At 47.6% G+C, this 27217-nt stretch overlaps 1 protein-coding gene and 1 long non-coding RNA gene across 11 annotated transcripts in view, besides 5 other annotated features; one reads left to right on the top strand and one right to left on the bottom strand.

Annotated features, from left to right (window-relative positions):
* Positions 1-21795, bottom strand: part of KCNA6 (potassium voltage-gated channel subfamily A member 6) — a 41779-nt gene extending 19984 nt beyond the window's left edge. For 2 of the 7 annotated variants that reach the window (NR_172523.1, NR_172524.1), the window contains exon 1: positions 16346-21795. Coding sequence is in view for 4 of the 7 variants with exons in the window: in XM_017019271.2 (XP_016874760.1) it covers positions 19498-21087 (1590 nt within the window). In the remaining 3 variants the exon portion in view is untranslated. Of the gene's footprint in view, positions 1-14325; positions 14414-16345 lie in introns of those variants that run through there. The other 5 variants (NR_172525.1, XM_017019270.2, XM_017019271.2 and 2 more) reach the window with 4 other exon arrangements.
* On the top strand, positions 358-26644 carry KCNA6-AS1 (KCNA6 antisense RNA 1). Of its 4 annotated transcripts, none has more exons than NR_199076.1 (4): positions 1589-1832; positions 6439-6558; positions 17483-17573; positions 26227-26644. It is a non-coding gene; the product is annotated as a KCNA6 antisense RNA 1 (long non-coding RNA). The 4 variants fall into 4 exon arrangements; NR_199075.1 differs by having other exon boundaries at positions 24261-26644; NR_199077.1 differs by lacking the exons at positions 1589-1832; positions 6439-6558 and adding an exon at positions 358-699 and having other exon boundaries at positions 24261-26644.
* Positions 379-880: an enhancer, noted in NCBI's record as "H3K4me1 hESC enhancer chr12:4939415-4939916 (GRCh37/hg19 assembly coordinates)". NCBI's record gives its function as "activates a minimal SCP1, AML or CMV promoter by ChIP-STARR-seq in naive H9 embryonic stem cells {active_cell/tissue: H9 hESC(naive)}" and the evidence as "EXISTENCE:reporter gene assay evidence [ECO:0000049][PMID:30033119]".
* Positions 1310-1469: an enhancer, noted in NCBI's record as "active region_5831". NCBI's record gives its function as "activates an Ori minimal core promoter by ATAC-STARR-seq in GM12878 lymphoblastoid cells {active_cell/tissue: GM12878}" and the evidence as "EXISTENCE:reporter gene assay evidence [ECO:0000049][PMID:35858748]".
* Positions 1530-1719: an enhancer, noted in NCBI's record as "active region_5830". NCBI's record gives its function as "activates an Ori minimal core promoter by ATAC-STARR-seq in GM12878 lymphoblastoid cells {active_cell/tissue: GM12878}" and the evidence as "EXISTENCE:reporter gene assay evidence [ECO:0000049][PMID:35858748]".
* Positions 5420-5620: a silencer, noted in NCBI's record as "peak1537 fragment used in MPRA reporter construct". NCBI's record gives its function as "represses an SCP1 promoter by STARR-seq MPRAs in K562 erythroleukemia cells {active_cell/tissue: K562}" and the evidence as "EXISTENCE:reporter gene assay evidence [ECO:0000049][PMID:32103011]".
* Positions 6217-7416: an enhancer, noted in NCBI's record as "P300/CBP strongly-dependent group 1 enhancer chr12:4932879-4934078 (GRCh37/hg19 assembly coordinates)". NCBI's record gives its function as "activates an origin of replication core promoter dependent on BRD2, BRD4, P300/CBP, MED14 and CDK7 cofactors, with strong dependence on P300/CBP, by STARR-seq in HCT116 cells {active_cell/tissue: HCT116}" and the evidence as "EXISTENCE:reporter gene assay evidence [ECO:0000049][PMID:35650434]".
* Positions 26645-27217: the final 573 nt, after the last annotated feature.

Genomic DNA, 27217 nt, shown 5'->3' with positions numbered 1-27217 from the left:
GCCACTTAGGGTTGTTGTATAAGAGGAGGAGGCACAGCGGAGACCAGCTTTGTTGGCAGAGAGCTTACCTTTCCTGAAAGTCAGCGCTGAAAGATCAAAAGTCACTGAGGACCCTGCTGACTCCCCCACACCAACTCACAAAACCAACAACCCGTGGTGGGCAGGGCCTGAGAGAGGAAAGTGAACGATATCCTGCAAAAGTCTGCTAGGGGGTGGCTTCGTCTCAGTTGCAAGGCTGCTGAATAGGTAGGTAGGTAAAGGCCATGGGGAGAATCAGCATTTGGAACTCTTCCCTGGGTGCAGCGCCCCTGCCCGCATTGCCTGCAAGGCAAACCCCGCCTTCTCCCGCAGCCTCCCACTCCGCCCAAGCAGCCCAGGGACAGAGGCTGCAGGATTCTGACACAGGAAGTCTACAGTCACTGGGAGCCTCTCCAAGATACAGCCTGTGTGAAGGAAAAGGTCTGGACAAGGAGAGGAACAGTAAAGAGAAACAAAAGTCCTCGGTTTGAATGAGGAGAGATTTTGAGCCCGCAGCGGGTTGCGGGGTGGAGGATGGCGGAAGGGGCAGATGCCGTTACCGGGTTCTGTTTCTCTTTCGCTGGCCACCTTGTTAAGCTCCCATTGGCCAGGTGTCCGGAGTGGGACTCACCACTGCAGGGGGCTCCAGCCCCACACAGCCGCCTCCCAGGAAGGACTCAGGTGGGCTTTCAGGTTATCCGCGGTGGGATGCAGGGGTGAAGGAAGCTTTGGTGGTGGATGTGAGAATTTGGGATGGGGGTGTGGAACTTTACTGGCTCCTGCCATGCAGCGTGCACAGTGCTTTCTGCAGGATGGCATCGAAGGGGCTGGAGCTGGGGGGCAGCACGTCTCTGTCCTCAGACCACGGTGGAGGATGTGGACTGTCCAGGCTCCAAGCTGTCCATCCCTCAGTGCCATGACCTAACCGTTAAGTGGGATGGAGCATGGGAGGGGAACGCAACTGCACCTTTCAGAGAGAGGCCCTCTGAGCAGGAAGAGTGGCTGCAGTAGAAAAGATGTGGCTGAGAAGGGGAAGAAAGAGCCTCGCGAGCATCAGCACTAGGAGAGGCAATTGATTTCATCCTGTGAGTCTCAGGGGAGTGGAGGCTGCCCCTTCCAAAAGAACTGGCAGGACTGGCCATGAGCCAAGTAGGGAACAGCTGCTGCTGACTGAGGGAGAAGCTGTGCAGCCTCGGGCAATTCAGTCAACCTCTCTCGGCCAAGGACAATATAATAATGCCTGCTTTACTGACCTTAGTGAATTGTTACGATGTTCAATGGTGAAAGAGAGTTGTAAAATGTGAAGTGCAATTAAATGTATAGGTGCGATATTATCAGCAGAACTTCTTGGGCTGGAGGTACCCAACTATGGCTGCACACAAGAACCTCTAGAGACTTTTTTTTTTTTAAATCCTGAACTTGGAAACCACCCTAGATCAGTTATTCAAATTAGGGCAGGCAGTGAGCAGAAGGACAGGAAGTGGTACTTTTTTCAAAAGAATCTGGTGATGCTGATATCCTATGAAGGTTGAGACCTGCTACCTAAGACTTCCCCAAAATCCATGAAGGTGATCACTCAGAGCACATGTTTTTTAAAAAGGCATATTCTCAGGCTTCTCCCAGATCTTCTGAATCAAAATTTCAAGGGGTCCTGGCAACCTCTATATTTAGCGAGCAATAAGAGCAATGTGGACACGTTATGCCAGTGAAAAGTTTGTCGATTAGCTCCTTTTCTACTGGATAATCATATCCAGCAATGCTTCTGGACAGCACAGGCAAATCAGCTCAAGGAGGGGAAGCACCCTCCTCAGACGGTAAGTACAGACATGCTTTGGGGGGATGGGGTTACAGTAGACAGCCAAATCCCATCCTATTCCTGCTCCACCGGGGTGAAACTCCAATTATAAAATGACACATTTCCCAGCCAACGTGCCTGGGAACCTTAAGATAAAAAGGAAACGATGATGAGTTATCTATAACTAACAGCATCAATTATGAGTGCTTTATTGTGTCAATAGATTGTTCAGGCTTTCTTGCTTCACACACTGCGGACTCTGTTCCATTCATAAAATTATACAAACACTTGCATATCCATGCACATGCACTCACAAACACAGAGACCCCAAGCTCGTCAAACACACAAATGGGAGGACGAAGAGGATGACAGGAGCCGGTGAACTCTTATCAGGCAACTGCATTACTCCGTTCTAGCATTATTTGCAGGATTCCATGCTACATTAGCGATGTTCCCAGGTAACAGGACCCCAGGGATTCTTCATTTTAGCTCTTTCATCCCACAGGGGCAACACTAGTTTAGCAGATAAGAGCACGACTCTGGAGCCAGACTGCCCAGGCTGAAATCCTACCACCCCACTTACTGGCTGTGTGTGACTCTGGGCAAGCTACTTCTGTGAAATGGAGATAATAACGGGGCAACTGGGACGATTAAATGCGCTGGTACACATAAGCCCTTAGAGACATGCCTGGCAAACAAGATGCTATGTGAGTGTCCGCTGCTATCAGTGATTGTTGTTTCTGTTGTTGTTTTACTATAGGTGAGAAAGGTGATACCTAGAAAATTAATTGCTCACTTTGTTTACATCTCTTGACTCTTTTAGGAGTATAGCCAAGGAAGGAGTCATAAATGTGAACAAATATCTACACTACAAGTGTTCGTTGTAGCACCGTTCATTAGAAGCAACCTGAACGTCCAATAGGAAGTGGGTTACCAAAAGAATGCTGCATCTCCATGACGGCTATGTAGTAATTGCATGAGAAAACTAGAGACATAATATGAAGCTTTTCAGATGAAATGCTGAATGATCTCTATAGATATACAGATACAGACATAGACAAAGTTAGTCTGGGGGAGAAATACAACCAAGTTCCAACACTGAGTGTCTCTATAGAGATACAGATACAGACATAGACAAAGTTAGTCTGGGGGAGAAATACAACCGAGTTCCAACACTGAGTGTCTCTATAGAGATACAGATACAGACATAGACAAAGTTAGTCTGGGGGAGAAATACAACCGAGTTCCAACACTGAGTGTCTCTGGTGGGGGGGTTATGGGATTTTTATTTTCTCCCTTATACTTTTCTAAATTGGGGTAATTTTCGATGATGAGCAGATATTCCTTTTAGAGTCTGAAAATAAAGCGTTCAATTGAAGCAACTTACTCAAGGTCAAACAGCACATTAGGAGCCCACACAGGCTTCCTATCCCTGTCCAGGGACTGTGAGGCTTCGTGAGGCTGCACTAAGAGTAGGAAGGAAAGCTGAGAGGGATGAGAATGATGAACACACACCGAAAAGCAGCAGGACCTTGGTGGAGCTGTGCAGGGCTAAGCCCCAGCTCGGAAGCTTCCCAGGGCAGAGCTGTGAGGGCAGAGCTAGACACTTTTCCATCCCAGAGCCACTTTGCGGCACAGTGAGGTGACCTAGGCACTACAATCGAATGCCTGCCCTTGGGGCTGCTCACTGCTGTCTCCCAGAAATGGAAGAAGCCAGCTTCTACTTTGTCTAAGGATACCAGAGAGTAACACCAACCTTTCTTTCCTTTGTCCTTTCTACAGACTTCTTCCTCTAGTGTGGAATCTGAGACCCAGGGAATACTGGTTCGCATCCCTGCTGGGCTGCACTCCCCTGCTTCTCCTTAATATAGAAATGTCTTTTCTTGCCCAGCATTTTCCCCATCATAATGCCAAGGTGCTTGAAACGGCCAAAACCAAGGAATGTTTATTTTGCAACACCGAAATAAAGAAGGATCTGGAATCACTTAATAACTAGGATAGGCTTCATCTAAGAAAAATAGAAAGGAAGGAGGGAAGGAGGAGGGAAGGGCGAGAGAAAGGAAGGAAGGAGGGAAGGAAGGAAGGAGGAAGGAAGGAAGGAAGGAAGGAGGGAAGGAAGGAAGGAAGGAGGGAAGGAAGGAAAGAAGGAGGGAAGGAAAGAACGAGGGAGAGAGGGAGGGAGGAAAAGAAGGAAAGAAGGAGGAAGGAGGGAAGAGAGAGGGGACGATGGAGGGGAGGAGGGAGGAAAAGACGTAGGGAAGGAAGCAAAGAGAGGGAGGAGGGAGGAGAGGAGGAAAGGAAGGAGGGAGGAAGGAATAGAGGCAGAAAGGAAGAAGAAGGAAGACGTTTATCATTGCTTGACAGTAGATAAAAACTATTGTCTCTCTTTCAAAACTTTGCTACAACCTACTCAGTATATTTTTAAATGTAAGTTCTGATCTTTGTAAAATAATAGACTGGAGTATATGAGCTCTGAAATTCAGTGATTCTACATAAAGTTGAAAACCTAGTAACTCCAACTCTCTTTTTCAAAGATCACTCCAGTGGCAAAAGCCAAGCAATAAAGTCTGTCAAGTTTTCAGGCAGCCAGCTGCACATCTGATTAATACACTTGGGTATCCGCAGAATTTTCAAGCAGAAACCCAGTCGTTGAATCCAATGACCTCACTTTACAGTGAAGACTCTGGTGGGAGAACAATACTAATGGCTACCATTTGCTGAGGGCCAGGCAGGTGACATGTGTAGGGTCACACAGCAGGTTAGTGACAGACCCAGAATTGGATGCAATCCTCACCCACCCCACAGTCCACTTCTTCTGACTTTTAGTGGCTTTAATACCAGAAACTTTTCCTCATGGCTCAAGATGTACAGAAAAGGAATCGGTACAAAGGCAACAACAGGACAAGAGCAATTCCCTCCTTTCTGCTTTTGCCTCTGAGCACAGAAGGGACACCATGGAAGAAGGAATTTCAGCCTGGACCAGTTGGTGAGGAGCAGACAGCAAACCTCAGGCCTTGCTAGATGAGCAGAGGAGGGTCAGAGGTAAGAGCCCTCAGCAGCACCAAAACAAAACAAAACAAAACAAACAAACAAAAAACACCTAGAAGAAAACAGCTTTCCAGGAGACTGAAATCCAAGCACCAGAGGAACCAGGTCCAACTGTGGTGTGTCAGCACCAAAAATGCCTTGGGAGAAAGGACAAATGTCACACTTGAAAACAGTGTTTAGGAAGATGGAAAAGAATACTGAGAAAACCTGGTTACATACAACTCACTGCTGGTATTTGCATCTTTCTCAGATTGTGAGTAAGATTTCATAAATAGGATAGTGAGTAAAGGTTATCATCAATGTTTTCATCAAAAGGTTTTAGTTAGAAAAGTGATCGTAAAAAAATCCATGTTACAATTTTTGATTTGGTTAACAACGTGCATAGGAATTGGCTGTTACAGTGTAAGGCAAAAGCCATGCAGACGACCTCATTTGCCTGGCAGAGTGCATCAGAGCTGTGGACATTTCCTAGCAAGGTAGCTCTAAACCTAACAAATAAGACCAACTCTTACTGTTATTTTCTCAAAGACTTCTATTTAAGAAGACTTATAAGGACTATAGGGAAGAGGATGTGTTTTATCACATTACTCAGTGCCTTATCAAAACCACTTCCGTTTCTGAACAACTCAAGAGGGGTGTGAAGAACTTTAAGAAGGTTGATAAGAAGCCACAGAATGGTCCAACTGAAAAAACCTTTCATGGCTGAGGGTCCATGCACTCAAATCCATTGCAACAAGCTTCAGATCTCTTCGAGTTTTCCAAAATGTATTTGTTGGATGAGTTTTGGGGGTATGTGAGCAGACATTACTATAAAAGGGGGATGGAGATTCTGTGGTAAAAATTTTTAAAAATGTAAGAAGTTGAAAAACACTGGTTTAAAGAAGTGAAATAGTTTTACTGCTGCAGGACTTCTCAGAGCCTTTAATTTCATGTTCAGATGCATTGTGCATCTCCAAGAGGCAGCATTTCTGAAACATAGTGCCTGGGGATTCTTTCTCCATGGAAAGTTGCGTAGGACTGATGTTCTGCAGATCACATTTGAGGAACTCTGGCATGAGTTATTCTAGGTAACATGGTCACTTGAGTATCCATTTCAGCAGAAGACAAAACAGGAGGAAGGAAGTTTAAAGTGCAGCAGGAGATGTGTAACTGAGAAATGAGGAAAACATCCTGACAAAGGGTGCTCAAACACAAGTAGCTTGAAGGAGTCTATATTATGGATTCTCTTTCTCTGGGCATTTTTCAGAATAAGCCTGGAATAATCTAGACATTTTTCTAATACACAGCAAGGCAATTAATTCCATGACTTTTAGAATTCTCTTCCTGCTCAATTATTTCATGTCATCTGTCCTTATTCTCTATTGATATATTAAGTGAGTTCAGCTGACTGGCTTGCAAATTAAAGACATCCCTGAAATGTTGAAGGTAAAGCCAATACATCCTCTGTAAGTTGAGTCTGTTTTCCACAGATTGGTATTATAATTGCAAAGAAAAGTGTTGACCTTACGCATCGGGGAGGAAGCATCCTACCTACACCCTTGTGCATTTCTTCCCGTTCATTCTCCCGCTTACGGCAGCCCACAGGTCAGCCAAGTGAATAGCTGAGTCATGAGATGCTTCCACACTCAGTCATTCAACCTCTCTGTGGATTCCCAAGTTTTCTGGAAGTTCTCGCTGATCTCGGGGATTCTCAATGGGTAAGTCACTTCATTGCTCATGTTCTTTCTTTAGGAATTTAACAAAATCCCTGGATATTCTCTGCTGCTGGCTTTTTTAGCAAGGAAACAGTTTCACTCTAAGAAGGTAGTAAGCCCCTTTACATGAGTCGCCTCTGTTATGACCAAGTATTTGATGATTTAATACCTGAATCATGGTCACTATTTGATCAGGAAGTCCAAATCTACAAAACAAGAGAAACTATTACATAGATGGACATATTTCCCAAAAGACTGATTTATGAGAGCTTTGAGTGGTTTTAACTGTATCTAACGTTTGGACAAGAGACCTTGCTTATGCCTCACTACTCTGTCAAAGTGGGCAAATAAGAAACAGACCATGAAATAATAACTTTTGCTGAATGCTCGCCACATACCAGGCCTGTTAGCATTACCTGCTCTAATTCCACCCATTCACTGGCCACCATGAGGGATGTCTATTAATGGCCCAGTTTTACAGAGGAGAAAACCAAGGCTCAGTGAGGTTCTGAACTCTCCCCGGGTCACACAGGCAGACACCAGTGGGGAACAGCACTGGGAGCTGACTTCCTCAGGGTGGACAGATATCACCTTCTGCCTACATTGTTCACAGATAGACCAAGAGGCTCAGAACCATGTTCTCATGTCTCCTGTCCTGCCTCACCTGACACAGCTACAGGTGTGGGAAAGGCAGTGCTGCCCACCTGCAAATGCATCACTTACAGTCTGCATGCAGTAAGAAAAAGAGAGATTATGATAGATTTTCTTGGAATTCCCCATTTTATTTTATTATTTATTTATTTATTTGAGATGGAGTCTCGCTCTGTCGCCCAGGCAGGAGTGCAGTGGCGCAGTCTCAGCTCACTGCAACCTCCACCTCCCTGGTGCAAGCAATTCACATGCCTCTACCTCCAGGGTAGCCGAGATTACAGAAATCTGCCACCACACCTGGCTAATTTTTGTATTTTTAGTAGAGATGGAGTTTCACCATATTGGCCAGGCTCATCTCGAACTCCTGACCTCAAGTGATTCGCCCGCCTCGGCCTCTCAAAGTGCTGGGATTACAGGCATGAGCCACTGCACCCAGCCGGAATTCCCGTTTTTGAACATACATTTTGAAAAATATCTCCTAGTTCCTAAAATGAAAAAAAAAAAAAGCTTTTTTTCCTTTCAAGTCTGATCAGCAATCCTCATCATTTCCATCATTTCCAATGCCATAGCATTCCTCTTCCTTCCGCTGGAAGAAGGAATTATGATTGCATGAAGTACACTATAAGCTAGTTTAAATTCATTTTTCTACTGACTACATGCTCTCTTTTAACTATATTGTGTAGTTTTTTAAATGTGAAAGGGCTCACTTCTATTAAAAAGCACCTCTGAGAGGAAAATAATTATATTATACATACACAAAACAACAACAACTTTTTGGAAACTCATCTGTTGGAACAAGTGAGGCCTACAAGCATTCAAATGTAAGGCTCATGATGGATTTTATTTAATCCCAACCTGACTGAACATTTCCTGCCCTCCTGGAAAGGGTACATATAAAGCTTAAAAAAAGGAAAACGTTTCTTATCTCCTTCCCAAGGAAATAATGTTGGGCATGGTTCCAAATCTACGGCCATTTAGCTTTCGGCCAATAAGCTTCAAAGACAGAAGATTCCACCTGAGAGCTGAAACCAACTGGGAATAACCCAGGAGAGGCAAGATCGAATCCGGGCACGGCCATGGGCCTCATGACATCGCAGAAGCAACCAGACAGATGCACAGCCCGTGGCTGGGTGGCCAGTCATTATCAGGAAAGCCACACAATGCCACTCATGAATCCCCACTCTGACGCCCACTCAGTCCTAGCCAGCGGGAGTGGAGTAGTGCTCCACAGTCTGACATCACAGAAACAGGAGGCGGTTCTCTAATTGGATACATCTCTGAACGCAGAAGTTTGCCTGATTTCTAATTTTTACCATTTTGGTTGGGAGTTCTGAATTACATCACACATTCCCCTGCCTGCTTAACTGGACACAGAACATGGCATGCTCTTGTTACTCTCCAGTGCCTTCTTCTCTGTGCAGCCTCACAGTCCTGTCTCTCATGGGTAGCTGGAACCGGCTCCTCCCAGCAAGCAGCCTTCATTTCTGCTCTCATTTCTTTTTTGTCCAGCAAACACACATACTCACATCTCCATCTGACCTGCTACTTCTAAGTCAGATAGTTGATTCTGAGCCACTTAGATGAAATCACACAGGAAGGCTCTGAGTATGGCCGCAAGCACCAGTGTCCCCAGGGGTTACCAGGTGACATAAGCCAGGTATCATTTTCCCTAAACATGATACCCTTTCCATCTTTCCTTTTCTAAGCTTTGGTAGAAATGTACATAGAGAGAAATATCTCCCACCTATGAAAAAACATGGCTAGGGGCACAATTAAAACTGACAGACGGGCCGGGCGCGGTGGCTCACACCTGTAATCCCAACACTTTGGGAGGCCAAGGTGGGCGGATCACTTGAGGTCAGGAGTTTGAGATCAGCCTGGCCAACATGGTGAAACCCCCTCTCTCCTAAAAATGCAAAAAATTAGTCAGGCCTGGTGGTGAGCACTAATTCCAGCTATTCAGGAGACTAAGGCAGGAGAATCGCTTGAACCTGGGAGGCAGAGGTTGCGGTGAGCCGAGACCATGCCACTGCACTCCAGCCTGGGAAACAAGAGCGAAACTCCATCTAAAAAAAAAGAAAAATGACAGACGGCCCAGCCTCAGCAGCAGGGACTAAGAAGCGATGGGCACTGGGCAAAGAGAACCCACGTCCTTCTGCAGGGGGCCGCTGTCCCTCAGCTTTTGCTGATGGTGGGTGGAAAGCAAACATGCAGGATCAACAAGCCCAGACCTTTGCTTTTAAGAGAAACCAAAACTTCAGATGTGTGTGTGTGAAATATTCCAGTATTTCTTAATGTTGTGTCCCATGTGGCTCACAAGCCACAAGTGACAGTTGAGGACCTCTTATAAGGTAATCTGCCCAGTTTTAGGGAAGGTGCTCTGTGATTGCAATTTGGAATTGCTGGAGGCATGTAAAACCATAAACCAGGAGATTGCAGATGCAGAAAAAAGAAAAACAAAACACACACACACACACACACACACACACACACACACACACACATCCAAGTGAGTAGAGGGTCTGGTTGGGGAGGGTGTGCCTGGGCACCTGCGTGTGCACACGTATGCTCTCCTGGGTGAACGCGATCCTTCCCCTGAAGCACAGAAAGCAGTCTTCTGCAGGGAACACAGCTATTTTCCCCACCATACCGGACCTCTTTTCTCTTTCCACCAATGCCAAATTGCCTTAAAGCAGCTGGGGAGTGCCTGGCTGATTTATGGCTCAACCACCAGGCCTTCTGGACACGTTCTTCCTCCTCACCCTGGTCCTGTGATTTGTAAAAGATCTCTGTAACTGACAGTCACTTCTCTTTCTCTATCGGGGCAACAAAGTGCAGGGAAGAGTCTAGAAACTGGTTTCTGCCTCCCAAGGCATCAGAAGTCAGCGTTCCTGGGTAAGATGCTGGCCTTCTGCATCCCTTCTTTCCGCTATAAAATTCAGAAGACTCAGATAACCCCTTGACTTCCTGATTTCCAATCTATGACAGTTTCCTTCTGTCCAGTCACTAAATTTAACAGAAAAAATAAAGCCTTAAGAGGTTAAAGAATCCCTTAATCAGTGAGATTAGAAGCCCAGAGCCTGTACATGAGCCTCTCTTTGTCCAGTGCTAAATACCTTTGGTCTGCACTAGCCCTCAGTCATTAGTCCTCCCTTAAAAATCCAGAAGCTGGTCATCTGGTTCTGGGCTTCTCTAGCTAGGCTCACTGCCTCTGTGCCCTGGAAACTCAGGGGAGGGAAAGATAAAAGTTAAAATCACTTAATTCCATTTTCTATGGGCAGCTCTGCTAAGGAGTTTGGTTGGGTAGAAAATGAAGAGTTATTTTTAAGAGTGTGTGTGTGTGTGTGTGTGTGTGTGTGTGTGTGTGTGTGTGTGTTTAGGTAATCCTTACAGTTCCATTTCCCATGGGAAAATATGCTGGAGTTGGAGTTAGAAAATTTGGGTCCCAGGCACAACTCTGCCCCTAATTTCCTGTGTGATCTTCGGCAAATTATTTCACTTCTCTGCATCAGTCTCCTTCTTCCTAAAGAGGCATTCACTGCCCCCTCCATCTGTGACCCTCTGCAATGCTCCAGGGCCTGAGGGAAGGGTTAAGTGAGAATTCTCATTCTAGTTTGGCTGGAAACAAACTTTGTTAAAATATATACATATTACCAGTATATCCATCCTATTCTTCCAAGATATATTCAGATTATATTTCTGTATATTAAATCACACCGTAAGGGCAATTATTTAAAGAAATTCTGCTGTGAATCCTCTGGGCAAAGAGCCTTCTGGTAAAAATAGCTAGCTATCCTGAGTCTATTTTTTATGTCATATTTCATTTAAATGTTTATTTCAGAGAACAAAACTGCAGTTGGCAGGGACCCTGCCTTTCTCTGACGTGCAGGTAGTTTCGGCCCCACTCTCGGATGGGTGTTTGGTGTCTCTAAGGGTCTCTCTGCTGATTGGCAGTGGGAAGAGCCATGCTTTGCTAAGAGTTTATTTCCTGCTAAACTCTTTCACTGGCTGCCTCTTCTGAATCTCACAGCAACTGTGTAAGGCAAGTGATGTTAGCTTCCTTATTTTGCAGATGACGAAACTGAAGCTCGGTGAGGTTAAATGAGGTACAGCTAATAAACAGTGATTCAGACCAATTCTCCAACTCCCATGGCAGGCAAGCCAGCAAGCTCAGAATCCTCAACCATGAGGGCAGCCACGTCACCTTGCCCTGGGATAGGACCTTTGTTAAGAAGCCGTAGTGGCTGTGGCAGTGAGCTGAGGGTGAAGACAGCAATCTGGCCCGTGCCAAGACCCCTAACAAGAGATGTCATAAATGCTCTTTAGGTGGAGTGAAGGCCAGGGGAGACCCACAAGGGCAGGGGAGCTGGCTTCTTCCAACTACGAGGCCTCCTGTCTCCTCCACCTCAAAGAAGGACAGGAAAGCAGAAACACAGCCACGGGAGATTAAGGGGTACCCCCACCTGCAAAGGGGGCCGTGAAGGTGACTGGGGAAAAGAATGCATGCTGACGGTGAGGACCAGGACAGTGGAAGTTTGAAAGCCACTGGAACAGGGTAGGAAAACTCTGGGCCAGGGGCTGGCTTGTGGGTTCTGTCCCTTCTGCTAACTATAAGACCCTGCATTCTTCCCAAGGAAGAAGGCAGGAGCAGGTGTGTGAGGAAAACTCGAATGCAGTGTCAACCACTGAGAATGTTAAAATGGGAGAGGGAGATCAGTGGCAGTACTGAGAAAGGGATCCATAGAAAGATGTTCCACGTATATATGCTACACACATATAGAATATATAGCACCATATGTGTTTGTGTATATACGTGGGTATATGTATAAGCATGCATGTATGTGCCTGTGCATACGTGTGTATATGTTTGTGTGTGCATATACGTGTGTATACATGTGCATATGTATATTCATGTTTCTGTATATATACGTGTGTGTATATGTGGTTTTGTGTGTGCATATGTGTATATATGTGTATGTGTGTGTTTTTGTGTATGTATGTATGTGTATGTATGTATATATATTTATGTGTGTATATACGTATGTGTGTATATGCATATGTGTGTGTGTGTGTGTGTGTGTGTGCACTTTCAGGGACCCATAGGGAACAAAAGCACAGGACACCTGCTGCTGCTCCATCAGAGACAAGCTGGCATGTAAACAGAAGTCTATAAACACATTTAGGAGCTATGGCTTCATTCTTCTTGCCCAATAACAGTTAGACCCTCACTGCATTCCATTCTGTTCCATCTCCCCTGAAGAGGATGAAACACACATTACTGTGTGCCTTTAAAGACATCACAACCCCTCTGAGCTTCAGTTTTCTTATCTGCCAAAGAAAAAAACAAAGCCTAGCCTACCTACTTCATTTCACTGCTGCAGGATGATAATAACAGCTGACATTGTACATTTAAACACTGTACATACATTAATTCATTTAATCCTCAAAACAACCCTATCAGATTGGTACTATTATTATCCTCCATTTGACAGAGAAAGAAACTGAGGCCACAGAACTGTTTCATAACTTGCCCCATGTTACCCAGCAAAGGAGGGATTTGAGCCGCGACGATCAGGCTCCAGCAACTATGCTCTTAAACCCTTTGTTAAATCGCACGATGTCTGAAAGCACTGAACGTGTTTGACAATGTTCTGTAAATGAATAGCACCATTCTTATTCTTGCTAGGACTATTCCCAGTGGGAAGGATGCAACGCAAGGTCAGGATTCCCTAGGTGAGGATAAATCCTGCAACCTCAGATCTGCAGCCCCACTAGCCAGGTGCCACGCTTCCAGTGGCAAGTCCTCCCCGCCCCTCCCAGCTGCAGGACTGTCTTCCTATGTTCTTTTTCAAAGCAGTGTCTCTGCTGCCAAGAGCAGGTTTGTCTGTCTCCTGGAGACAGCGGTTGTCAAGCCCTGAGAGAACAGCAAGCATGTCAAAAATAGCAGCGCCAGCAGACTGCGTGGCTGCAATTTCCTTTTGAAATGTCGCCTTTGCTCTCACCAAAGAGCCAGGGTCTGTCTGCGCTCCTTGCAGCCTGCAGCAGAAGCTGCTTAAGATTCCAAAATGTTTTCCAGGAGGAGGTAAAGTGTATCTGCTGAGGCTCGTGACCGAGGAGTGAGGAATTCTCTTTAGAGTAACAATGATGAGGTTGGAGTTGGATTAAAAAAAAAATTGTAATAAATCCCATCAGGACTAGTCCCCAAACAGGTCAAGTGATAGCCAAGGTTAGACCAGTGCGAATGATACTTCCTGTAGGGTAGGAACCTTTCCTCTTTTGTTCTGAAAATGAGGGAGTCCCTCTCCTATTGTTAATGTGCACCTTCAAACACAGCAGCTGCTTTGATAACCCTTCAAAGGCAGTGGCTGATAGATTTCCACTCCCCCTTTAGGGTACCAGGTGAAGCCAGGGGATGAGGACCAAGAAGACCAAGAGGCAGGGTGAACTATTTTCTCAAGTTCAGAACAAAGGGACATGAAAAACATGACCATTCCCAACCCCACAGAGACTCACTCAAGGCCAGCACAGGAAAGTGGTTCATCAGGAGACCTGGCAAGATGAGAGGCTAAAAGCCCATCTGTCTTTCTTCCCCGCGGCCTATGTCTGGGAAGATCCCTCTCCCTGCCAACTGCCAAGCTCCAGACCCTGTTCTGCCATGAGCTATCTGTGCAACCCAAGGCAAAATATGAAGCGGGATGGAGAGAGGAACTCCTACCACCTAGTAAATGGAATTCTTTTCCTCCCCTAAGTGACTGTGACAAGGTAGGATTGGAGGACACTTTCCTCCCCACTTCCTTCCCATGGCAATAACACACAGTCAAAACCCATGTGAGCCAGGATGGCAGCTCCAGCCAGATTGTCCTGGAAGGACCACGCTCTCTGGGAATCTATCTTGGAATGTATGTTGAGTTGCAGGCAGATAGAAATGCTGCTGCAAGCAAGGGCTCAGCCAGCGGAGAGGAGAAATGACAAGCCACAGGACTGGCTGGTGCATCTGAGGAAAGCACCAAGGAGAGGGAAGGGAGGGTCCAGTGGGCACAAGGCAAAGCAGGCCAAGAGGGGATCAGAGTCTGGGAGAGAATCATTGAAAGGCTCAGTAAGACAAATGAAGGCCGTTACCGTCCACTTCTTTTGTTTACCGGAAGCACCAAAGACTGCTGGGACCTCTTCATAGGGCTGTTAAGCATCAATAACGACTGTAGAGGGACTGTAGGTAGGGGGCCAGGGAAAATAAAACCTTTATGTACCCACAAAAAAAATTTCAAAAAATTCAAAAATAAAATAATAACCATAGTAGATAAATACATAAAACCTTGGGCCCTATGCAATCTCTTAAGGAATTCTGAGTTTACAGGTGCAGGGATTTGGTGGGGTTTTTAGTTTGTGGGAACTTTTCTTGGAGTTTTTTTCTTTTTGCCAGCAAAGTGTAAGTTCCCTGGGCAAGCTCAAGACCGTAGTCCTGTATAATGAATAATGTTCAACATATATATCATAGTTCAGTGCATGCTAATTATGCCCTGCACTTACCCAAAAAATGGCATGACATATCTTTAGAGGAAAAAAAGAAAAAAGAGAAAAGCATGTAACTCTCATAACAATTTGATGTCAAAACGAAGCACACACAGACACACACACACACACACACACACACACACACACACACACACACACACCAGTTCGTGGTATTGTGCATGAATAGCAACGATCGACTGCATATAAGCTCTAAAGTGTCCCCATGTGGCAGAAGAAAAAAACTGTCATTCTATTCTAGATATTGTCTGGTCCATTTTTAGACATGCTAAGCTTCTAGATTTATAGGACCAAACCGTTCTCCCAGCCCAGATGGAAAACTCCCAGATTATTAGACTCGTTGCTTTCTTTTTTTTCACAATTCAATGATTTTGGGGTGCGATTTTTAGAGTTGTATGATTATTACCACAATCCTGCTTCACAGCATTTCTATTATCCCCCAAAACTTATCTGGGGCCAATTGTAATAGCACAACCTTCAACCCCATGGGGGCCCCTCAGGTTGTCCTAGTGTCCTGCTGCAGGTGGGACTTAGCCCATGCTCTAAGACTTCTAGCAAGGAGACCATCAATTCTCCTTGCGGACTGCCTGGTGAATCTTAATCCTCCTTGTCAAGGAGTGTTCCCTGCACCTTGCACCACAGAGATTTATGTCCTTTCCTTTTGTTCTGCCTTCAGTACCCGAGAGAGACAGCCAGATACTAGCAAAACCTTCAAGTGAATTAAGGGCAGTTCTAAAGCCATCCCCTATTTAAGGCTTTTTCCAGGCTAACTCCAACCTTATGCCTGCCTCCTAAGCCCTCTTTTCTCTGTTTATTTGACATTTCTACTGTTCCTCTGTCTTTGACCTCTCTGCCAGCCTCCTAAGCTTGGAGAACCTGAGGTGGTCCAGGGCTACTCAGCAGAGGATTTGTCTGAGACTTCTCAGGGTCATTCTCTCCCTCCCAGCCTGCCTTCTCTCATTTATGCTTGCAGGTTCAGGAAATTTCTGGGAGACATTTTTCTGAGCCCATGGCAGTCTCATCTTGCTTGGCAGGTTCAGGACTTGCCTCCACAGAGGTGAGCATGGTAGGAAAGAATGGCAGAGTGAGAAGTCAGGAAAAAGTGGAATACTCCTGCTGCAGACAGACCTTAGCAAGCACAGCTGTCCTACAGTTCAATGTGCGACCTCGACGTCAACACTCTAGGTGCTCCCAGCCACTGAAAAGGTGGAGAGAGGGAGAAAGATAAGCAGGAAGACACACATAGAAGGAAGAAGATGGTAAAAGAACAGAGGGGGAAAACCAGAAGAAAGAAAACTGGAGAAAGGGGAAAAAAGGCAGAGACAGTAAGAATGAAAAGAAGGAAAGAGAAAAATGCACAGAAAAAGAGATAATTTTTTACAGGGGCCAGCAGCATCAAGGGGACAGAAACAGAGAAAAAGGAAACTGAAGTTAATGGAGTCAAAGAAAAATACACAGAAAAAGCGAGGTAGCCCCTGAGGGAAGGGGAATGAAAACCTTGCCTCTCTCCAGATGCACACGCTTCCCCACTTTCTCTCTCTCCCCACCCCGTTCTAATTTTGCCTGCAGGACTGAGCCAAAACCAAAATTCCCCTCCAGTAGAACCTACCTCACCTGCAAAGAAGGCGAGCTGTCCCTCCTCGCTCCTTGGGGACGAATATCCCGCATCTCAGGCTGAGGCTGGCAGCTCCAGGAAGTCCTCTGGGAGCTCTTTCCGGCTTGAGTCAGGTGTAGTGATGGCTTGGACCCTTCCTGTGAATCACCACCCCAGCTGTCCAGGCAACCCAGAGTGCATATTCTCTTGGTGCTCAAGGCACAAAATCCAAATAAAGAGGCTCAGGGTCCGAGAGGGATCACTTGACAAAATTCTTCACAGAAACTAGGTCGAGCTACAGCCTCTCAGTTTTTCTTCGATGTCTTAAGAAGAAAGATCTTTGAGATTCCTCCCAGGAGCTAGATAGGCCGTTCCCAGAGAGGAAGAAGTTGCAATTCTCCGCCTCTCGTGGAGCTGGGAAGAGCCTGCCTCTGCGGAGATGGGAACTCCATGATACCTAAGACTATGATCACACCTGGTAAGGCCCAGCTTGGCCGCCACTCCAAGAAGTTGTCCCCTCTAAGGGCTCCCCTCGACAGCTTGAAAAAATTAATACTGACGTTGGTTTAACTGGTTGCTTAACATTCAAATTTCTGAAGAATCAGGAGTAAGATGAGGCAGCTTCAATGACTGGGTGGGGAAACTAGGAAGAAAAGTCCAGACAGGAAGCTTTGAGGCCCTGCTTCCTCCACATTTTCCAAAAGTCCCACATCCGTGCCCTGGCACTCCCAGCCCCTAAGCCACGATGTGGGAGGTGCTCCCATTTGAGAAGCTGGGAAGATGTAGTCCCCTGGTCTCCCTTGATGCCCAAAGCAGAAGATAGAGAGAACAGTCTGGAAGGTTGCTACGGCAACCAGAGTCCCTGGTGAGCTGGGCTCTCCACAAACCCTTTCAGGCGTGCTCTGACTTGAAAAGAAAATGTTTTCTCAGGGATGGTGATGAGGGTGATTACATACACATATACAGAGATACATGCATACAGGTCTCAACTTTTACCCTCGGCTGGGAGCTTCCCTTCTGCCTCTGGAATGGGCTTTTCTCTTCTTTCCCCAGATAGCCAGCAGCAATGGGAGAGATTTGGAAAACTAGCACTTTCTGACCTCAGAGCAGGTTTTTGCATCATAAACATCTCTATCTTCTACTGTGTTTCAGGTTTGGAGAAGCCAAGCCCCCAGTCAAGGTGACCTCCAGCCATGGAAGGATCCCCCTGAACATATCTAAAGAGAACTCTCCTTTCTGAAGGGTAAGAAGAAAGGCTGAGGGGCTCAGTCCAAGAGGCCAAGGAGGGATTTAGGGAGCCAATGGTCCATAATGGCCTATTCTCAGGCTTTGGATCCAAAGCAGGAACTCTGGGGGAAGGCCTTGCCTATGGGGGTATGGGGATAACTAAAAATCAAATCCATGACTAAGATTCACACATTTGCATAGCAATGTCCCCAGCTTCCCAGACATTCCCCATGAGGTAGGGAGGGGAAGACAGTAATGTTCCCATTTAATGGGTGGGTAAACTGAGGCACAAAGAGTGACTGTGGACCCAAGTTACCCTGTAAAGTTATGGCAAGATCGAGATTTAGAGCTGGCAGTCACAGAAGCCACACTGCCTCTCAAGCAAACCCTCATAAGGCTGTCCTCTCGTAAGTTGCTCTTCGAGAGAATAATTTTTAAAAAAAAAATTATCATCAAAGAGTCTGAAAGCATAGATATAAAATTAAAAACATGTTAACAGTCCTTTCAGTTTCAGAACTGCACCCAAAAGATCTCAGAACAGTACATCACAGTTTATCAAAGGCAAAAAACAAATGGCAATGTTACTGAGAAACAAAAGGGGAGGTGGGCAGGTGGATAGATGGCAGTGGTCTCACAATGGAAGAAAATGGCTAAATCAAGTGGGAACGCCACCAAGTCACCTTACCAGTGAGAGCAGGTCAAATGCAGCTCCAAGGGGCAGAGCAGGCAAGTGTTTGCTTGACTCAGCAAAAAAGCCTCTTAGAGTGAGGCTGTTGGCAAAGGAATAATGCTTGTTCCTTATTCTAAACCACATATTTCATGCCCATAAAATGGGAAGAAACCCATGCTGCCATCCAATGTGTGCTTTTACCTGTCTAGGGCTTTAAGCTGGAGTTTGCCTGAGGAAGCCTTCAACAGCAATCCTAAATCAAACTCCCAGGAAGCAAGGTAGAGGGCCAGAGAAAATGTGGGGAAAATGAAGGAGAAAAGGCTGCCATCTGCAACACGATTCCTCTGCCCCTTTGAGAAAACAGTATCTGTTTAAGTGGCACCTTGCTTCAGACTGTGGTCAAGCCAGTTGCTTGACTCTGCTCAGACATTCCTCCTGGCTCTGTGGTTCCCTTTCTCCAGTTCTTCTGCTCAGGAAGGCACTTGCACAAAGAGTATTTGGCTCTGAGAAGGAACCTTCCTGGAAGCTGGAGAGTCAGGGGATCAGAGTGGGGAGAACTAAATGTAGACCGAACACCAGTGCCTCTTGTGCTGGGGCACACTTTGAAAAATCCATTGGCCTCTTTGGTCCTGGACTAACCCCGTGTCCTCCAAGTGGTAAAGTTTGATTGTATTCTCTAATTCCATCCAAGTTTAGAAACGAATAACCTATTTTGAGGCTATGCAAATAAAGACTCTACCAAGGGTCATCTGCAGGAGGACCAGTGATTGTTACAGGGCACTGGAATAACAGCAAGTTGAGTACTGCTTCTGTCCTCCAGCTTCTTCCAGTTACCAAGTAGCCTGAAGCTAGGAAACGCACATGACCCAAAGCAAAGAACACTAAGGAGGGAGCGAAGACTCAGATAGGGCTGGTTTCCATCCTGTTGACATTGCTGTTCCTTGAGATATTGTAAGTCCCAGACATGAAAAATCAGTCTTGAGGGAAGGTCAGACATAAATGTATATCTCATTCATATGACAGAAGCTGGGCATGATTGGGTGGCACCGCTGGAATTTCAAAAATGTCACTTAGATGGATTAACCTTGAATGCTGCAGGGATTAAGCAACAAGGTTGATAGTCCAGGTATTTGGTCCTGGATGCCAGGTAGTGGGTGTAGGGGAGAGAGTCAAGAAGTCAACTGAAGCTAGAGTGAGTAGTGGAAATGAGAAGGAAGCCTAAGAGACTGTTAGCTCAGTGCTCCCCTCCTGCAGGCCCTGCCTGCATGGGTCAGACCTCCGTGAGCATTCTTTTCTCTGCATAGGCCCGATGTGGTGTAGGAAGGTAGCTGGGTCTCCGTTCCCGGTTAGCCTCGGGGAAGTCAGGCTTGCCAAGTCCGTTGTCAGTTGCCCTCAGGTCCGGCGCAGGCTGCCCACAAGTGACGTGGGTATACTGGCCTTGCTCCTCCTGCTCCGTCTCCCGGTGGTAGAAGTAGTTGAAGTTGGAGACGATGACGGGCACAGGCAGGGCAATGGTGAGGACCCCAGCGATGGCACACAGCGAGCCCACGATCTTTCCCCCCACAGTCATGGGGTACATGTCCCCGTAACCTACCGTGGTCATTGTAACCACTGCCCACCAGAAGGCATCCGGGATGCTGGGAAAAAGCGAATCGTCATCGTCAGCCTCTGCGAAGTAGACGGCACTGGAGAAGAGGATGACCCCGATGAAGAGGAAGAAGATGAGCAGCCCCAGCTCCCTCATGGAGGCCTGCAAGGTCTTGCCCAGGATCTGCAGCCCCTTGGAGTGGCGGGAGAGCTTGAAGATGCGGAACACCCGGACCAGGCGGATGACTCGGAGGATGGCCAGGGACATGGCCTGCTGCCCATTCTGGCCGCCTCCTCCACTGGCTGGTTGCTGCTCCTGCTGCTGCACCAGCTCAGTGCCCAGGGTGATGAAGTAGGGGAAGATAGCCACCAAGTCAATGATGTTCATGATGTTCCGGAAGAAGGCCGGCTTGCTAGGGCAGGCGGAGAAGCGCACCAGGAGCTCAAAAGTGAACCAGACAATGCACAGCGTCTCCACCAGAAAGAAGGGGTCTGTAAAGAAGGAGCCCCCAAGAGTACTGAGTGAGGAGGAGCCCCCGGTCCCCATTTCCCCAGGGGTGATGCCATGATGAAATGTGTAGGAATCGTCTTCATCCTCCTCTTCCTCCTGACTCCCCCTGGAAACTGGGGAGACTCGACTCACACCACCATTGTTTCCACCTCGACCATCTACACGGAACTGGGGTAAGGTCTCCAGGCAAAAGATGACTATGGAGATGAGAATGACCAACACGGAGACGATGGCGATGCCCCTGGCCGGCCCAGAGCTCTCTGGGTACTCAAAGAGCAGCCACACCTGGCGCTGGAAGGGCTGGGAGGGCAGCGGCTTCTCGTCCTCGCCACCTTCGGGCAGGCAGCCCTCGTCCTCCCGGAAGGCCGCCAGGGCCTCGTCCCCCAGCTGGTAGAAGCGGATCTCCTCCAGGAAAATGTCCAGGGGCACGTTGACCGGCCTCCGCAGGCGGCCCCCAGACTGGTAGTAGTAGAGGATGGCGTCGAAGCTGGGCCGGTTGCGGTCGAAGAAGTACTCGTTCCTCAGGGGGTCGAAGAAGCGGACTCGCCGGCCAGGGTCTCCGAGCAGCGTGTCCGGAAACAGCGACAGGGTGCGCAATTGTGTCTCAAAGCGCAGCCCGGAGATATTGATCACCAGCCGCTCGCTACTACAGCAGCCCCCGCCCCCGCCGGCCTCCGGGAAGTCTCCCGCATCCTGTTGCTCTCCCTCCGGCCCACGGACCTCCCCCGGCGCCGCCAGCGTAAGGGATTTCTCCGATCTCATGCCCCCTCGGAGGTGCGCTCCCCGCCACTAGGACGGCGCCCACGACACAATCTCTGGAGCGCGGCACCCGCTCCCCAGCTCCCGGCTGCGCCCTCTTTAGGGTGGGGCCCGCGCTCCTCCCGGTTCGCGGTCTGACCTGGCCGTTGGGTCCGTGAGCCCTAAAGCCCTGGTCCCTGCAAGGCTGGGTCTGGGGAGGTGACCTGGGCGCTGGGGATTTGGTTCTGCGCTTCCCGTTACCCGCGCCCGGGTGCTAGAGCTTACTGGGATGCCCGGAACCGCACACAGGCGCGTGTGAAATTGGCTGCCCGAAAAGACGCGTGGCTTCGCCCCCAGCGGTGCCTGAGACCCGGCTCCCGGACGCAGAGGTCCGCCCTCCAGCCGGGCTAGCTCTTCCCAGTTCCCACTGCGCTCCTCCAGCCGCTCCGGACCCCCGGCTGCCGCTGGTACCGAAGCGCCAGATGCGCCTCCCTCCGGCTCGGCAAAGACTCCTGGCGGGGCTCGGCCTCCGCCCTGCGTCCACCGCGGGGCTGGGTCCGGCCAAGGTCGCGGTTCCGGCCGCCACAGCCGCCACCTCCTCCCTAGGAGCCGCGCCGCAGGCCTCGCAGAGGGCCCGGGGCTGCCCCGGCGCCCGAGCGCGGGGACCCACCTCCCCACGGCTCAAGGCTTCGCTGCCGCCGCCGCAGCTGCAGCGGCTCGGCTCTCCGCTCTGCCCTTCCTTCCCAACACACACTCTCCAAGTGACGTGGCAGGCCCCGCCTGCTGCCCCCTCCCACCCCACTCCCACATCACACCCCTCGCCCAGCCAGGGGCTGCCGCGAGCCAGGGCGCCATGGAAATAGACGCACACTTGCCTCACCAGTAAGCTTTCCCGCGCTCTCCTGGCACGCCTCTCGCTTTCACACGTTCACATTCGCGCCCCCCTCCACAAGCGCCGGCACCCTAATACCACACCCCCTCCACCCCCGCAGTCGGCTCTTCTCATTTCAATTTACCGAGTTGACCTGCGCAGTGTATTTCATCAATAAGAAGACACACCCCGCCCCACCACACAATACGGAGCACTGTGCATCCACTCATACAGAAATCTAAAGAAAACATTAAATCATACATTCTTCTGTCTTCAGGAAGACCCGTTTGCCAACCTCTCCAATATCTACAGGAAAAAAAAAATAGAGAAAGTATTTTTGAGATGCCTTGAGAGCTTCCGATTTAAATTCCAATATAATTCTCCGTCTACCTTTGCAAGCCTGGGAGGGCGGGGCTGCAACTCTCCCAGAATTGCAAAGGGATGGTAGAGAAAGGGTGGCAAGTCAATCAATGCCTTTCCCATCAGAAGATTTCCAGGGGAGTCCTGAGAGCCTGAGGCAACAACCCCAGTGAGGAAGGACCCAGAAGATGGAAGCACCTCAGAGATACCTCAGCCCAGGGCACAGTGCACCCTGGGGATCCTTTGCTCCCAACCACCCCGAAGGATGCATCTGGAATTTCTGCTTATTGGGTGACCAAAAAAAGGGAGAAGAGGGTGAGTGGAAAAGGGGTATGTAAGAGTGTTGATTGAAAAAATAATAGCTACATTTACTGGGCATTGAATATGTGCCAGCCACATTCTAGGTGCTTTCCCAGAAAGATGTCCTCTCCTTGTAGGCCATGTTACAACAAAGACCCCTTTGGCAGTACTGGAGTAGGGCAAAGTTTGTTGTTAGGGACCAGCTGACTCTTCCCTAACTCTCCAGCAAGAAGGTGATAAGAATGGTTTTCCATCCATTTCTGTCTTTCTTCACGAGACCAGACAAGTTGGGGTCTGGTAGAGGAAGACTCAACTGATCTTTTCAGACTGACACTTCCAGGTAGGGTTGACATTTGCTTCTCTGTGCCTCAGTTTCCTCTTTTCTGGCTGGCTGTAGCCAAAATGAATTGGCTAACAACTACAAAGTGTTTTTGTGTAGCTTCTGGTGCATATTAGATCATTAGTATGCATTCATTGAGGTTAATGATGAGAATGACACATAAAGGTGCTCTCAAACCACAGGATGCATCTGAGAGTTCTTTGTATTGCACGGAGTATTTTAAAACCACAGTGGTTCTCAGCAGCATTCACTCTCAGAGAGTTGGAGGAAGGAGAGAACCAAGGCTCCTGGATGTGTCGGGAAGGGATCAGGTGTTGAGTGGGTAAGAAATGTGCTAGTATTAGAACTCACTGCATGCTCATTCTCCAGTCTTGCTCCTCACCAGTTGAGCCAGGCAACAGCCTCTGCTCCCTTTCTGTGCTTGCACAGCTGATTTCTGGCACCAACGCCCTGTGGGCTTTTTTGATCCCCCAGGATAGAAATCAAAAGAGATCACAGCATACAGTAGCAAAGAGAAAGATTTTATGAAAGCTTATGGACATAAGGGACCAAACACCAAGAAAGGAAGTGGGTTGCTCTCCAAAGTCAAGGTGTGGGTTCCCTTTGTGGAGGTCTGCAGTAAGGGGAAGTCAGGGCATGTAGAGGTGAGGTTTTTCGGGCACATGTACGGTGGCTTAAGATGCTGCTTCATACAACATATGTCTCATTAGCATCTTAAATCTCCACCTGTGGGCATGATTTTTAGTACTAAAATAAGGAAAAGTTCATGATGAGGTGAAAGTTAAGCCTAGCTAGGCACGTAGGGCCTCAGAAAGGTCCTTAGTTCTCTAAAGCAAGGGGTTAATTAATTTGTGGTTAATAGCTTCTTGGGCCTTTGATGCTGACTGGCTGGGAGTTACAGCTTGAGTAAAGGGCTTTTGTTCTTTTTTCTCCAAACCACATCACAACAGGAAAGCAGCCAGCTTGCCCATCTCATGCTTGCCTGTCTCATTTCCACTCCTTTCTCTCACCTTGCATGTTTCCGTGAAGGGAGAGAAAGCAAGTACATGGAGTCATCCAGCGGAGTTTTCTCACTTACAGACTATGTAATTAAGCCATTTAGACTCCACACAAAAGTTGCTCTGTTTAAAAAATCTTTTTGAAAGAAAAGAAAAAAAAGGAAACCAACAGCAAATACACTATAGAAGATACTCTTTACCCCCATCCAGTTATCTGTCACTTTACCCTTATCCAGTTATCTGTCATTATTTTCTGAGTCATAAATTGACTAACCCCTGATTCTTTTTGTTTTTGTTTTCAAATTCATAATGAATGATTCATTTGCAGGTTTGTTTTCATCATTGCCATTTTTATTCACGAGACTGTCAACTAGGTCAGTAATTCTTCAAAACCAATCCTGGCAAAGCATGGGAAGGAACCTTCGTTCTGCAGAAGCGTACACACCCTGATAAGGTGTCAAGAACCTCCGTTTGAGTACCCCTCGGGTTAAGCCTGACTGGGCTGCCGGCCACCCTTCAGGCAGAGCTGATGTTCTGTGATGACCTTCACATCAAGCATGAGGTCGTGCCCCAAGAAGGGTTTCACTGTGCCCAGGGAGGTTCCCCTGAGAAGGACAAGCCATTGGCAAATTCATGAATCAGAGTTCTGTTTTTAGTTCTTTTGTGAAATAGACTCATTTCTTAGCTTAAGAAAAACCCTATGCCTAGATCATTCCCCCCAAGCGTATGTTAAGGATGAGTACAATCACACCTTCAGAAATGCCAGTTCCCAGGTGAAGGAAGACACAGCTCCATCCATAAACACTGCCAAGTGGCTTCCAATGGCAGGGGATTTTTCCCCAGCATTCACCAAGCACCAATTTCATGCCAGCACAGATTTTGTTGTTATTTTTTGTTGTTGTATCCAGATTCAGATGTTTGCCATGGTCATAGCAATCATTCATTTATTTAAAAAGTATATATTGAGCAGCTACTGAGTGCCAGCATGGTGCCAGGTGCTGAGGATTTAGCAGTGATCTATACAAAATATCTGCTTTGATAAGCATACATTTTCATGTAATAAATTACATTATAGACAGAAAATTTTAACAGTAGACAATAAGGAAAATAATTCCATATTGCAGTAAATGCCTTGAGGAGGATAAATGGGATGCCATGTCAGAAATGAACTTGGGGACTCAACTTTGCAAGGGTAGCTGGAAAAGTTCCCTCTGAAGAGGTAGTATTTCAACTGACAATCCAAAGAGGAGAATGGAGCCTGGCACGGTGGCTCATGCCTGTAATCCCAGCACTTTGGGAGGCTGAGGCAGGTGGATCACCTGAGGTTAGGAGTTCAAGACCAGTCTGACCAACATGGCAAAACTCTGTCTCTACTAAAAATGCAAAAATTATCTGGGCATGGTGGAGGGCACGTGTAGTCCCAGCTACTTGGGAGGTTGAGGCAGGAGGATCGCTTTAACCTGGGAGGTGGAGGTTGCAGTGAGCCGAGATTGTACCACTGCACTCCAGCCTGGGTGACAGAGGGAGATTCTGTCTCAAAAATAGATAAGAGAATGGGGCCACAGTGCCAAATGCAGGGAAGAGCATTCCAGACTGACAAGTGCAAAAGCCCTGAGCTAGAAAGGTCATGGGTGTTCAAGGTCAAAAAGAAGGCCGTGCGCTGGGAGGAGAATGGGCAAGGGAAAGGGAGGTGCAAGATAAGATTGAAGAATTAGCAAGGGTACCATCTTATAGGGTGAGGTGTTCAGGTTTTATCTTAAGGGCGGTATGAAGCCAATGATGGTTTTCAAGCAGAGGAGAGACGTGATGTGATTTACTTAGAGGCTGGGAGGGGAATGAATTATGAAGAGGTAGAAGAAGAAATAGAAAGACCAGGAAATTGCAGTCGTCTGGGGAAAAGATGATGGTGACTTGGGCCAGAGAAAGGTAGAGTCAGTAGAGATAGAGTGGAGAGGAGGTGAGGAGAACTGAGGAGGTATGTTTAGATGATAGAATCAGCAGGAATTAGTCATCAATAAAACATGAGAAATAAGCAGCCAATGCCAAGCTCAAGCAACTAGGCAGGTAGGTGTCGCCCTTTACTGAGAAAGGGAAGACAAGGGGTTAAACAAGTTGGGATGCGTCAAGACCTCACCTTTAGATGTTTTACATTGGAGAGGGAAATTATACATGCAAATTAAGACATCAAGGAGGCAGTTATTTATTTAGGTCTGGAATATGAAAAAGAAACTTACGATTTATGAATTTAAGACATCTAGAAATATATACATTCATGGCACCAAGGTCTTCTGCAGAAACAGAATATGGACAACGAGGAGAAATGACCAGGACCAAGTCCTTCACAGCAGTCTTCAATCTACCGGTCAAGGTCAGGAGGAAGGGCAGCCAGCATAGGAGGCTGAGGGGTTGTAGGTGAAGTCAAAGGAAAGCCAAGAGATGGAGAGCTCCTGGAAACCAACAACCAGGACTAGACCCCAGGGGCCCCATCCTCCTGGGCCCACGCTGGCCTTCCAGTGGAACACATGATCTGCAACAGGTCAGGAGTACGTGGGGGGCATCCATGGGAAGAACCACCTAAGAATGGACGTATGTGCCCACAAGATGAGCACAGATAATGTGAAGCATTGTGTGATAACCATTTATATTCTGACCTCTGCCCTAGGTTCTAAAATGTACCTATTCCAGGTATATAAATGACATAAATGATCTGTCTTCCAGGCTTCTTTACATTTTTATTTTGCTGTGTGTGTGTGTGTGTGTGTGTGCACTTGTCATCATTCTGGTAATACGATCCCTGAAGTTTTCCTCTTTCTCTGTGTAACCTCTGAAAATGGTTCTCCTCATGGTCCTGTCACCCACAGGCCCCTGCTCTGAGGACAGGGTGGCGAGTCGTCAGCTCCCTTACCTCTTACTGAGAGAACACAACACTTGTGCACAAGCACGGAACACCCTCCCTAGAATGACCCACCCCACTCTTGAGCTTTCCACTGTGGAATCCAAACCACTCAGAGCCAGTGAGAAGCAGGGGTGATGAGTCTGAGCCCGTGTCCCTCCTCTCACCATCTCACTCTGGGCAAGGCTCTGCCCTCGAGCTTTGGTTCTTCAGCGTGTTCCAAGTGGAAGCTCCTCTGTCCAAACACAGCGTTCTGCCTGGCCCAACTCCCTTCTCTGGTCCCCTCATTCACCCCTTTCCCCAGGGTCTGGGTCATGTTTACTCCTTCTCTTAACCTTCTCCTACTTTTTCTGCTGGAGAGAGAAGACAGCATTGAATCCTGGGGAAGAAGG

This window comes from Homo sapiens, chromosome 12 (assembly GCF_000001405.40).
Source record: "Homo sapiens chromosome 12, GRCh38.p14 Primary Assembly".
In the NCBI taxonomy this organism is placed as follows: domain Eukaryota; kingdom Metazoa; phylum Chordata; class Mammalia; order Primates; family Hominidae; genus Homo; species Homo sapiens.
The sequence above is the reverse complement of the archived record's forward strand: the minus strand, read 5'-3'. Positions and strand labels throughout refer to the sequence as shown.